The sequence below is a fragment of the Homo sapiens genome, chromosome 7 (assembly GCF_000001405.40).
Source record: "Homo sapiens chromosome 7, GRCh38.p14 Primary Assembly".
In the NCBI taxonomy this organism is placed as follows: Eukaryota; Metazoa; Chordata; class Mammalia; order Primates; family Hominidae; genus Homo; species Homo sapiens.
This window is the reverse complement of record NC_000007.14, coordinates 142,340,952-142,354,188: the sequence shown is the minus strand read 5'-3', so window position 1 is coordinate 142,354,188 and position 13,237 is coordinate 142,340,952. Positions and strand designations below refer to the sequence as shown.

The 13,237-nt window shown below is 43.4% G+C and overlaps 3 gene segments (V, D, J or C) and 1 further gene, besides 10 other annotated features; all 4 read right to left on the bottom strand.

The window, feature by feature from the left end:
• TRB (T cell receptor beta locus) overlaps positions 1–13,237 on the bottom strand; it is a 514,277-nt gene that overhangs the window by 459,099 nt on the left and 41,941 nt on the right.
• Positions 792–800: a recombination feature (RSS_nonamer).
• Positions 801–823: a recombination feature (RSS_spacer).
• Positions 824–830: a recombination feature (RSS_heptamer).
• Positions 831–1,323, bottom strand: TRBV7-2 (T cell receptor beta variable 7-2). The segment is given in 2 exon segments: positions 831–1,128; positions 1,275–1,323. Coding segments are annotated over 2 exon segments (347 nt in total), but the record flags the coding sequence as incomplete, so codon positions are not given.
• Positions 4,486–4,494: a recombination feature (RSS_nonamer).
• Positions 4,495–4,517: a recombination feature (RSS_spacer).
• Positions 4,518–4,524: a recombination feature (RSS_heptamer).
• TRBV6-3 (T cell receptor beta variable 6-3) lies at positions 4,525–4,957 on the bottom strand. The segment is given in 2 exon segments: positions 4,525–4,819; positions 4,909–4,957. Coding segments are annotated over 2 exon segments (344 nt in total), but the record flags the coding sequence as incomplete, so codon positions are not given.
• Positions 8,165–8,173: a recombination feature (RSS_nonamer).
• Positions 8,174–8,196: a recombination feature (RSS_spacer).
• Positions 8,197–8,203: a recombination feature (RSS_heptamer).
• On the bottom strand, positions 8,204–8,657 carry TRBV4-2 (T cell receptor beta variable 4-2). The segment is given in 2 exon segments: positions 8,204–8,498; positions 8,609–8,657. Coding segments are annotated over 2 exon segments (344 nt in total), but the record flags the coding sequence as incomplete, so codon positions are not given.
• Positions 8,722–9,223: an enhancer, noted in NCBI's record as "H3K4me1 hESC enhancer chr7:142044797-142045298 (GRCh37/hg19 assembly coordinates)". NCBI's record gives its function as "activates a minimal SCP1, AML or CMV promoter by ChIP-STARR-seq in primed H9 embryonic stem cells {active_cell/tissue: H9 hESC(primed)}" and the evidence as "EXISTENCE:reporter gene assay evidence [ECO:0000049][PMID:30033119]".

Below are 13,237 nucleotides of genomic sequence, written 5' to 3'. Positions count from 1 at the left end.
TTGAGGTACTGCATATGTTAATTAGCTAGATTTAGTCACTTCACCATGTACATACATTTTTAAACGCAGGTTGCATGGTATACATGTACACAACTCTTATTTGTCAGCATTCAGGTTCTAGAAACCCGATTTCCTAGGGAACCAAGTTGACACTGGAGCAGTAGTGGACGCATGCTTCAGTCTCTCAGGACAGGAGCAGTGGTAAACGAAAACAAAATAAAGAACTCGCATTGCTTACACTAGGCAGAAGAAACGAAGTCTTATTGTTATCTTGGCTGTATTCACCAAGTAATGGCCACAAAAGCCACAAAGACTTTTAAATCAAACAGGAAGAATGGTTTGCTCTTGTATTGCAGAAAACTTCCAATGTAACAGAAGAGGCTTCAGAAGAAAGAATGTTCTTGTGGATGAAGCTTCAGACCTTGCAGATGCCCCAACACATGTAGGGGAAGACACCTGTTCCTCAGCCATGCCCGAAGCTTCTCTATGTGGGCAGCAACCTCCCAGGCCCCAAAGAAGACTGTGTGTCCCAGCCCTGAAGGCCAAGGCTAAGACACCCAGTGCTTGCCTTAGAGCAATGAGCTGGCTCTGAGGACTCCAATAGCCCGGTGGGCCACGATTGCTTCCACCACCCACATTTACAGTTACTGTGTCTTAAGGGTAAATCTGTGGTCTCTTTCTACCCAAAGGACAAGCTGAGGTCCAAATCTACTTGTTTCCCATGGGGAGGGAGAAGCAAAGAGAAGCCTCTGTTAAGGGTGTCTAGGAGCTGCAAGGAGAGAGAAGGATGAGGTTTATGAGCAGGAAGGAGGCGACTGTGCCATGCTGTGGCTAAGCTGCTGGCACAGAGATACACGGCCGAGTCCTCCTGCTGTGTGCGCTGGATCGTCAGAGTGGAGACGGATCCCCCAGTCCTCTCTGCAGAGAAGCGATCACTGGGCAGCCCTGATTTGTCTGGTGCACTGTTGCCTTGGAAGTAAATTAAAAACTCCAGGCCCTGCCCCAGGCTCTGTCGGTACCAGTAAAGGGCAGTATGACCTGAAATTGGATCACACCTGAGCTCTACATCCTTTCCCTTCTCTGTGACCTTGTTACTGGGGGACTGGGAGACTCCAGCTCCTGTGTGATCTGTGGAGACAAAGTTGGGAACAGAATGAGGAAAATAATTTTAGTCATCACACGAATGCACACAGCCCACCCCTACACACACACACACACACACACACACACACACACACACACACAATGAGAATGGTTGGTGTCTGAGGACTCACCTGCCCCCAGGAGACAGAAGGCCACCCAGAAGAGGAGCCTGGTGCCCATGGCAGGGTCAGGGCAGGATGGGAGCTTTACCAGATCAGGATCACTGTGAGCAGGAGCAGAGGAGGAGGGACGCCCCGTCCTTACACGGAAGTTCCCACAGTGACATCACTTCCTCTCTCAATCTGCATGACCTCAGGAACACAGGATTTATATTAGACCACACTTGGGTGACTACTTTAAATATTTATAAGCTCCTTGTAAACAACGTTATTGCATGGGACATCGCTTTGGGCTCCCATGCTGTCTGGACTTGGAGGCCTCACGCTGCATCTCCGAGTTCACCTTCTCATCCCACAGCCGCTCCTCTGTCTGCTGAGCACGTTCTGTAGGATGTGCCAACAGTGCCCCCAACACCAGGCACCATGGGATGAGCTCATTGTCTTTCCTCCAAGTCAGGGTCCCCTCTGCCATCCCCATTCATGCCCCAGCCTCCTCCATTCCCCCACTCACATGTGCCCAACGGGATTGTCCCATCACATGGGTTCCCTCACAAACTGCCCTCATACATTTCTTCTGGGATCATTTCCCACCCTTGTTAACTATAACTCTGAAAAGATACTTTGGTGGCAAACTCACAGAATTATTTTGGTTTTCCATATTTTCTTGTCCTGTCCTGTAGGTATTTTTTATCAATCTCAATTCTGATTTAACAGTTATTTTTAATCCTCTTTCTTGACTTTGACTATTTCTTTCTTTCTATTCCCCTGGAGGATATTTATCTTTCCCTTTTGACTGCTGTTAAAATCTTTTCTTTGTCATTTGTGGTCTGCAGTTTCACAGGGACCTGCCTACTTGTCTTGCAATTCATCTGAATTCTTGAACGAGGATTTCGGTCCTCAAACATCTCAGGAACATTCTCAGCTAGCATCACATACACAATCACCTCAGATCATTTGCCTTATTTTCTCTTTCTGAAACGTCAGTTATATACAAGAAAGTAAGAAAAGTTTCAATAAAACATTATATGCTTTCTAATATTCTAGAAACTTCATTTTTTCCTTGTTCCTTCACTTTTTTTATATTTTACATTTAATTTTCTGTGCTGCATTCTAGGTGATTTCTTGAGATCCTCCTTTGATATTGCTAACAATCTCTTTAGAAGCATTGAATCTGCTGTTTAGCTTCCATTTTGTTTTGTGGAGTAATCGTAATGATTTCTAGACATTCTATTTGATTATTTCTTTAATGTTTTTTGATGGTTTCGGGCCGTCTCTTTTTTGTGTGTATACTTGTTTCAGTCCCTTCTTGTATTCATTTAAATGTAGCTCTTCAAACGTTCACATCTTATGATGGCAAAATTTTAAATCTTTAGGATGTCCATTTTAATGGTTTATTGCTTCTGCTCACTGGTCCTCCTTGGTTTTTGTTCTAATACTTTTAATAGTCGGAATAAATTGGTCTTATGTTAATCTGTGAAATTCAGGGAGAGGCCAGGCTTGAGAGTGCAGAATGTCAAGATTCCATAGTTTTTCAACTGTCTCTGGTCTCACCCCCAAATGCATGGGGTCGGGAACAGTCTGCTGCGCTCCAAGCTGCGAAATACCCCTGTAGATTTGATTCCTCACATCACAACCTGCTCTGAGGACAGTCCCAATGTAGGTTCCAGAAGAGAATTCTGATTTTCTCTTTCCTATTTATTATGCTTCCTCCATAAAATAGAGCCTGTAAGACTGTATATGAATGATGGTTTTTTTCCTGTTCTTTCAAGGAAATCAAAGTCGGATTTGTTCCACCATTAGCCAACTTAAGACAATTATGGGACAAAAATAGCTCACTATTTGGATCAAACTTTTACAAAGGAAAATCAATATTTTTTTTGTTGAAATCATATGCTCTCCTTTGAGTAGAATAAGAGGTCACGGTCACATTAATCATGAATTAAATCTGCCTAGCTATATCTCCCCTCCAGACCTTCTCTTCCTCAGCTCCCCCTACATTTATATAAGGTCTAACTCCTGTCATAAATCCTCCTCTCCATAGTACTTTTAGTGATTCTGTTTTATTGATGTAAACCTAATGGAGTTTTTGGTACCAGAAGTGGTTCCAAAATAACACAACTCTATGCATGGGTTTCTGGAAAGGGATCTCTGATCTGTGTAGAGTTGTTGTGGGAAAGAGTCTGAAGGAGAGCACAGAGACCTGGAGGAGGTCTGGTGCTGCAGACTCAGGAGGAATCTTTGACCAAGGTGGGGCCGCCCATGATAGCGACTCCCCATTAATTTCAAGGACCTCCCGTAGCCCAGCAATCAAAAGGGTAAGAGTTCTTGTACTTACAGCCAGATCTCCGCAAGGGTAAAATGGATCTAGGGTGCTCCTGTTATGGATTCATCCATCCACTCATCACTCACTCCATCACTGACTCATCCATTCTCTGAAATGCATCTCCCCTTGTGCCAGGCTCAGCTGCTGATTTATAACCCAGGCATAGCCTTGGCCTTCATGGGGTTTAAAGTACTTGGAAGATTCCAACTGTGCTAAATTCTACTGATTAACAGACACATGATACCATGAGAGATTATGAGAGGGAAACTGACCTCAGCTGGGAGCCAAGGGAAGCATAATGGTGATTATCACTAGGGCTGATGATGCTGAGATCTGAAGCACAGGTAGGTGTTGACCACTACAGAAAGGAAGGCTCCAGCCCAGGGCACAGGAAATGGACTTTGGAGTCTCTCAACATGGCTGGAGTAGAGAAGGGCAGGGAGGTCGGGGAGGAGAAACCCAGCAAGGCCTTGGAGGGCGACTGTGAATATAGGAAATGCAGGCTGCAGCTGAGACCACCGTAGGGTTCAACATGAGGAAAAATCATAGAGAGAGGAAAGCACGTGGTACCCAGGTAGAGACGGGAGTCTAGATGGATCTGAAATACAAATCCTATTTCACCTAGGAGGCCTCAGACTCAGGTGAATGACTAGGAAAGTCAGAGCTGGGAAACCCCTGGCACTAGCCCAAAAGGACACCTCAGAGGAAAGACCGGAGGGCAACAAGGAAGACATCTGAGGTCCTGGGACCGATCCAGGCCTGGCCGAGACCGACTGCAGAGGCACCTGGCACAGATGAAGGCTCGCACTGCCCGGGCCCATTGGGGCTCCAAAGTTTTCGGTGCTAGGACCAAGGGCATCGCTGAATCTGTGCTGCGGAGGAGGGCAGCACCTTCCCTTGCCTTTCTGTGCAGAGAGGAGACAGCCGTGCAGCACTGTGGAGTAACTGCTGGCACAGAAGTACACAGATGTTTGGGAGGGAGCAGCCGACTCCAACCCCAGCAGGAAATTCTGTTTTTTTAATCTGGAGACATTGTAGCCATCAGGGACCTCTCCTTTGGCAGTTGTACCCTCACCAACTGAGTAATGAATCAGCCTCAGCCCCATGCCTGGGTCTTGTCGATACCAGTACATGTATTCATGGTTCATATCCTGGGCACACAGCAGTGTCATGCTCTGTCCTGTCTTCAGGACCCGGAATTTTGGGGTCTGAGTGACACCAGCATTCACTGGACCTGCAGAGAAGGACAAAGCTGATGCTACAGCTCCAGTGGAAAGGGGATGGGCCTTGAAATCCACACAAGGGGCCCCGCCCAGGACCCACCTGCCCACAGGAGAGAAAAGGCCCCACAGCACAGGAGCCCGAGGCTCATGGCAGGAACTGCAGGATGGAGGGGTCCTCTGGGTCTGTGCATTGGTGAAAAGGGAACACGTCTTTCAAGGGCGTCATTCTGAGACCTCATTCTCCCTGCCTGGGCCCCAGAGCCTTGCTGTCAGGAGAGGCCACGCCCCTTCCCCAGATGGTCAAATTCAAGATCAATGCACCAGTGAACAGTTTGGATGGGAAGAATGCCTTTGTCTGAATCGATGCAAGTCTACCATTTTTTAAATATCTTTTGGTAATTAGTTTGTAACTCAATGTATATTTTTTATTCCCATGATGATACAAATTACTTGGCTGTGCATAGTGGCCCATGCCTGTAATCCTAGCCCTTTGGGAGGCTGAAGAGAGCAGATCACTTCAGGCCAGGAGTTGGAGACCAGCCTGACCAACATGGTGAAATCCCATCTGTACTAAAAATATAGAAATTATCCAGGCATCCTGACGTGCACCTATAGTCCCAGCTACTCGGGAGGCGGAGGCACCAGAATTCTTGAACCAGGGAGGCGGAGGTTGCAGTAAGCCGAGATCATGCCACTGCATTCCAGCCTGGATGACAGAGTGCGACTCCATCTCAAAATAATAATACTAATAATTACTCATTAATACACTGGTATTGGTTATCTAAGTATTGCTATAGTCTACAATCTTGGAAAAACTCCTCATGTCTTCCTGGTGTTTTTGATTCCTGTGTCCCAAATACTCCTTCAAGTATCCTTTTCTAATTTGCTTAATTGATCATAATCCGATAGTCCTGTTTAAAATCCTTTGTCTATATTGGTTTTCTCTGTTATTAGCTTTCCAAATCCCAGGGGCAGTCTCATCAACATTGAAGGAGTTGTTTTGTTCTGTTTCTTGTGAATTCACTGACAGATGGGACTCCTGACAAACCCAGATGAGCACTTTCAGCTCCACCCAGGGCTCCTTCTTTCTGTGCCTGGGGTGAGATCCCAGCAGGCAGAACCACCTCACGCTACTGACTACCGTCTCTGTGTGGACAGTGGTGGCTGCCAAGCACTGCCCATGATCTATGGGCACAAAGGTATCCTGATGTGTAAGGGAGTTTGGGAGACAGGGCTGACTTTAGGGTAATGAGGAATGTTCTGGATTTATTGCTGCCATTAATTTAGTGATAAAGAAAAAGGAACCAACCCAAATGCCCATCAATCAACGAGTGGATAAAGAAACTGTGATATATATATATCATATATATATCATATATATCACATATATATCATATATATCATATATATATCATATATGTATGATGAAATACTACACAGCCATAAAAAGGAATGAATAAACAGCATTTGGAATGATCTACCTGGATGAGATGGGAGACTATTATTCTAAGTGAAGTAACTCAGAAATGTAAAACCAAACATAGCATGTTCTCACCGATATTTGGGAGCAAAGCTATGAGGTCACAAAGGCATAAGAATGATACAACGGACTTTGGGGAAGTGTTGGGGAAACAGCAGGAGCGGGTGAGGGATAAAAGACTACAAATATGGTGCAGTGTATACTGCTCAGATGGTGGGTTCACCAAAGTCTTGCAAGTCATCACTAAAAACTTACTCATATAACCAAATACCACCTGTACCCCAATAATATATGGAAAAATAAAAATTAAATTAAAATTTAAAAAAATATTCTCGCATGGCCTACAGCCATGAACATAGAGTGTTGTTTCCGTTTTTGTTTAAAAAAAATGAGCTCCAAAAGTCTATCTTTGGTGCACAGAGGCCTGCATTTGGAAGGACCCTGCACTTGGTTTCACATTCTACTGTCATGATCTTCAAATTCTTAACAGTGTTTGAACAAAGCACCTGCCAGTAAGTCTTGCCACTGGTTGTAAATACATGATTTTGTTTCATATACTGCTCACCTCCCCGTGTGCTGGTTTCCTTTCAGCACAAGAGCATGACCAGGGTCTGGGTCACTCAGCATCTGTGGAACTTAAGAGTAAAGAAAACACAAATTCAAGTCACAGCAAAGGACCCCCTGGTACTGAAAGTCACAGCTGGGATCAAACAAGCCCACGAATAGGTTCCAAATCTGCGCCCAGGACTCTGCTTCAGGAGACAGAGAAACACACAGCACAGTGGCCTGGTGCCCAGGGCAGGGTGAGAAAAGGAAGATGGATTTTAGCCTAAGGCTCAGGTTTTATGGGTTGGACACATGGGGTCAAGTCAAAGAGAACCCTTCTCCCAATAAGACATCATCTGTCAATGAAGTCACTGTGATCATGGTTTGCTTGACCCCAGCATGCTCACTGTGTGAACACAAAGCCCAGCTGCATGTGTGTCTGATGGGAACTCAAAATAATTTCCTTAAAGATGATTAACTTTTGTCAAAACGTAACATAAAATTATTTGATTGAATGAATTGACGAGAAAATAAACGAATGAAAATGAATAAATTTTGTAGAATCAGCTTCTACCATCCGAAAAGACCTTTTGAGGTTATTTCGGCACAACATCCATCTCCAGATAGAATTGTCCCTACCATGGGTCAGGTAGCTCACCTAGCTTCAACCACTTCTAAAACCATAAAACCTCCAGGAACTCCTCCCTGCCTTGATGATTTAGCTATGTATTCAAGAGGATTATTCAGAAGAGGTTTGACATTTGCATTAAAAATATTTGCCAACAAAACGACTCTCCAGTGATAGAAGTCACATCATTGGTTGCTGGGACAGACAGAGGCATTGCAGAGGGGAGTGAGGGACTTTCTGGGTGATGCAGATACATCTTCATAGAGGTGGGGTTGCATATATAGATATATGTTGCTCAAAAATCACAGATATGTTCATTTAAAAGGTGTCCTGTTAACTTCATATACTTTAAAGATCAATAATGTTGATTTTTAAATGCCTGAGGAGATATGTATGCTACATCCTCTAGTTAATTTTATCAGATGAATTATCAGGCATATATATTTCCATTTCTGTGACTTCTGAGTCCTCAACCTAAGATTTCTTGGCAGAATGTGTCCATATCTGTCTTTGCACATTGGTGTGGTGGAAGAGGTTGTCTGAGATCAGCAAAGGAAATCAAAATAGCTAGGCTTCTACTATATGCTAGATATTTTATGCCATTAAAGGTGCTATGATGTTCTGAATCTTCTGCCGGGGCTCTTGTAGGAAATGTTCATCGAAGGCTTTGGTGGCCCCCACAGCTTCCTGGAGGGCCCCTAAGGTTTCTGCACAGGAAAGCGGTGACTCTGCAAGGCTGTGTCTTGGCTGCTGGCACAGAGATACAGGGCCGAGTCTTCTGGCTGCAGGGTGTGTAGGTGAAGGAATAAGTGAGAGCTGTTGGGGCATTCAGGTGAGAAGCGACTTGGCACACTGTTGTTTTCAGTCTGTTCTTTAAAGTTGTAGACAAACATGAGCTCCAGTGGCTTCTTAGCACTTTGCTTGTACCAATACATAGCGTTATGCCCCAGATGTTGTTCACATTTCAAAGACTTCTTATTTGTCATTCCCATGACCAGGTGTCTTGGTGTCTGCGTAACTCCCGTTTCCATGGGGACTGCGGGGGGAAAGGGACAAAATTCAGGCAGAGCCCAGGAGGAGGCTTGTTGCTGAAATCACAAGGAAAAAGTTTCGAATTCAAGGACAGCTGATGTGAACCCAACTCACCCGCTCCCAGGAGACAGAGAACCGCACAGCAGAGCAGCCTGCAGCCCATGCTAGCCTCGGGTCTGAGATGGGGCCTCTGACTGGGGTCCTCTGGGTGAGGTGCTGGGCTCTGGTCTCCTTGGCCTTGGTTGGTGGTTTTTCCTGTGATGTCACTGCTCCTGACAGTTTCCCCAGACCCAGGGGATATTTATACCCGGCCGTTTTACATCCTTTCTAGGTCCTGATAGAAGGCAGATTTGAATTGTCTGGGCTGGGATGAATGGGCTGGGGAGAAAGGGCAGAGCCAGCTTTTTACCCCCCAAGGATATTCCTCTGGCAGGGGCTCCTTTGTTCTCAGCTGCTTCCTCATTATGTGGATCCTACCCCTGTCTCTGTCCCCGTGTCTTTCAGGATCCCTCTCAGCAACAGACCACTCCCATTCAAGAAATCTCCTTCTCCTCTGAGGGATCACACAAGACAGCACCATTCAAAATGTCCATTCCCTCAATGCCTAAGCGCGGTGGAGCCCTTTTTGCTCGGTTCTGTGGAGGGAGGGTGGCTACATGACCACGGATGCAGTGTGGACCAGCGCCCATCTTTCAAGGGCATGGCTGTGATGCCAACCAGCAACCAGGCACCGGGGAGGGAGCTGAGGGAGCACGAAAGGGATGAGCCACCCTCTGTCCCTGAAGTGGAGGGGCATGAGCCTTGGCTGGGCTTAGAGCTAACATACACAGGATGCTGAAAAAGAACAACCCAAGGTGTGTGGAACAAGGGAAAGGGAAATCAGCTTGAAACTGACATAATAAATAAACACAAAAATGAAATGATTCATAATCCCTAAGTGATTTTAACCATCCATTGTTAATAGCACATGTTTGTTAGTATTTTATAATGACAATTGTGATTGTACGGTTAAGGTTGTAGTTACAAATCAGTTACATAAAAATCTATGTTGGGGGTAGAAGGGAGTTACCATGATTAAACTATGGGTTGATAATTTAGAGATTTTTTTAACTTGGAGATGTGCTGGGCCAGGAGGAAAGTGTTAGCATTTTTCTGATGTGTAAATTGTTTCAGAGTATTTTTATGTGGCCCTTAAAGCAAAGAATGTAAAGGCATGTAGATCAGAATTTAAGAAAAGTGGTTGAATTGTCTCGTCCTGAACAGGTTACATATATGAGAGACCTTCAACCTGCTACAGTTGGATATACTTCATTCTTAGATAAGAACCTAACATCAACCTGATTTAAAGGTTAATGTTGTTAGTATTCAAATTATTATAATAGGAGTCTGCTTCAGCAAGGAAACAGTTCTTGGCCCTTCCACCAAAAAAGAAAAAAAAATTGAATTAAAAAGAATTTGATTGCATTGTGTGGCTCTCAATAAGGAAACCAAATTTCAAGGATTTTTGTTTTTTAGTGGGATTCAACCTACCTTGAATAACAATGACAATGAGAGGCTTGACTACCCTGAGGTCAGTAGCTAACATAAACATGTCTCAAAGCATAGGGTGGGTGACAGGTGAGTTGAAGTCATCTGAATTCCAGATGGATCTGAAGAAGGAGAATGACCTCAGGACTGTCTGAATTGCAAGAAAGAAGAGTGAAGAGTGGAATGGTAACGTGAAGTAAAGTCAGTAAACATGTCTGTACCAAATATCGTTAGTTTATGTGATTGAAGATAGGACATAACTGACTCCAAGACAGCTGGGATTTAAGACACAGGGTAGTAAAAAGGAACCCAAAAATTATATGTAAGAAACCCCCCTTTTTTTTTTCCTGAGCCAGATCCTAAATTGTGTATGCAGAGGGTGGCAGACCAGAAGGCTGAGCAGAGAACAAGTTCTGGAAGGCTGAAGACATGGGCAGAGATTTCAGAAGAGCCAGGGCATTCAGACCCAGTTGCAGTGGAGTGATGTGGCGAATACACTGTGATTCCCACTAAGACCCTGGGAAGGCCATGCACTAGCAATGATGACCACAGGCTGGGGCTCCCTAAGAGGAAGGGCAAAGCTCAAATAGAACCTAGCAAGTCCTACATTTAACCCTTCCAGAATAAAACCCAACACTCTTTCCAAGAGATAACATAATCCAGAGCCTCAAGCCTATGTCTTCCACAATGCTTTACATAAACCCTTTCTAATCTTTCATGGAGGATATTTAGAAGTCTCCTAATCATTCATGCCACCCAAAAATCTATCTCCTTTCAGATCCGTACTACTACCAATGTTACTGTAACACAATATCAGTTTCATCATGTTGTTTCACTTGGAGTAGGACCAGTGGCTCACCACTGCCTAGGGATTTATGTCCAAAGTCCTTTCCATGTCAATTCTAGATTTGCTTCAACTTCGCTCCTGCTCACCTCCCCACGTGCTGTCTTTCTTTCAGCCCAAGCACATGGCAGGGGCCCAGGCCACTCAGCATCTATAGGGCTTATTTGAGAAGGACACAGAAATTAAAGTCAGAGCAAAGGGGGCCCTGCTACTGTCATTCACAGCTGGGATCCAGCAAGCCCATGAGTGGGTGCTACAACTGTGCCAAGAACTTCTCTGGGCCAGAACCCAGAAGGAGACATGGTGCTGGAGCCTGGTGCCCAGGGTAGGGCCAGAACAAAAAGGGAGATTTCCTAGCTCAAAGTTCAGGTTTTATGGGTTGGATACTTGCGGTAAAAGCAAAGAGAACCCTTTTCCACATATGACACCATCTCTCAACAAAGTCACTGTTACCATGGTTTGTTTGGTGCCGTTGCATTCAGTGTGTGAACTTGAAGGCCAATTAAATATGTGTGATATGGGAACTCAAAATAATTCCATTAAAATGATTAATTGTTGTCACAATACCATTATAAAATAAATAATTTGAATGAGTGGGTAGATGAGAAAAGAAATAAATAAAAATGAATAAATAATTTTGGAGAATGAGCTTCCACCAGCTGGAAAGTAATTTTGAGGCTATTTCATCCTCTTACCTATCTCCAGATAGGATTGTCCCTAACATGGATCAGGTAGCTCACAGAAATTTAGCCTCTTTTAAAACCATAAAACTTTCCAGGAGCACCTTGCACTCTTAAATGTATGTATTTGAAAAGGATTAATCAATACAGGTTTTAAAATGTTACTAATAGATTTTTTGAAAAAAATGTATTCTCCAGTGATAGAAATCACATCATTGGTTGTCAGAGATGGAGAGAGTCATGGCAAAGGGGTATGAGAGAGATTTCTGGGTGATAGAGACCTTTTTATAGGGATAGTGGTTATAAGGATATACATATATATCCTTATAACCCATATATATGTCTATATATATATATATATATATATAACCATTGATCTGTTTATTTAACATGTGTAATGTTTATATTGTACAATTTATATATCAATTGTGCTGATTTTAAAATGTCTGAGAAGGCATGTACGCTATGTTCTGCAGGTAATTTCATCAAATGAATCATCAAGCATATATATTTCAACTTCTGTGAGTTCTGAGTCCTCAACCTAAGATTCCTGGGCAGAATGTGTTCATATTTGTCTTTGCTCATTGGCACAGTGGAAGAGGCTGTTTGAGATTAGCAAAGGAAATCAAAATAGCTAGAATCTACTATATGCTAGATACTTTGTCATATTAAATCTTTGTACAACTCTTCATAAGGGCAGTAGTCATCTCATTTTACAGAAAAAAATAAAAACCCAAAACACAAACTAAACGCAGCATGTCAAGAATGGCCTCAGGTCTTTACAAGTTGGTGTTAGAATGGGAGTCAGGGCTGAGTGTCATGGCATCTAGCCAGAGATCTCTCCTTACATCACTGTCTCCAGGGTAAACTGATCTCTTTCCATGTTGTTAGAGCCAGTTGATCTGAAAGGGATGTAGGATCCAATATTCTGATTTTTGAAGGTAGGCATCTCTCTCTATGAAATGCACTATAGCACAGAGTTATAAATGCAAAAATTGGACAGATCAGGTTGAAGTCCCAATACTGTATCCTAATAGCTCTTCAATTTGGTCAAGTTTTTTAACCTATGAGCCAATTCCCTCATCTGTAAAATGAGAATAGCATTTGCATCTTAAGGTTTTTTTCTGATAGCTGAATTTCTAATTAATTGAACTTTTTCAAATGAAAGATTTTTATTTGGCATATAGTGAATTGACAAATAAAAGTTGGCATTATTATTTTTTTCTGAATGTTCTCCATGGAGCAGAATTTATCTGTGAATGTGCCTGAATAAACTCAGTGCTTGCAGCTCTGCAAATGACTCTGCCACTCACATGACAGAGAGTTTCATAGAAATAGCCAAATGTTATATCCATTTAATCCTGCAGATCTGAAACATGGAATATTATTAAGGGTTAGAAAAGAAAAACAATCCTTCCATATGTGTCATAGATGAACCTGGAGGACATTGTTCTAAGTGAACAAGTCAAGCACAGAAACGCAAACACTGCATGTTTCTGTTTATATGAGGCAACCATGTCAAACTCATGGAAGCAAAGATGAGAATGTTTCTTTCCAAGAGCTGGGAGTTGGGGAAAATGCGGAGTTGCTGTCAACAGGTATAAAATTTCAGTTAAGCAGGATGAGGAAGTTTTAGAGATCTTCTGTACAACCTTGTGCCTGTAGACTATGATACTGTTTTGTACACTTAAA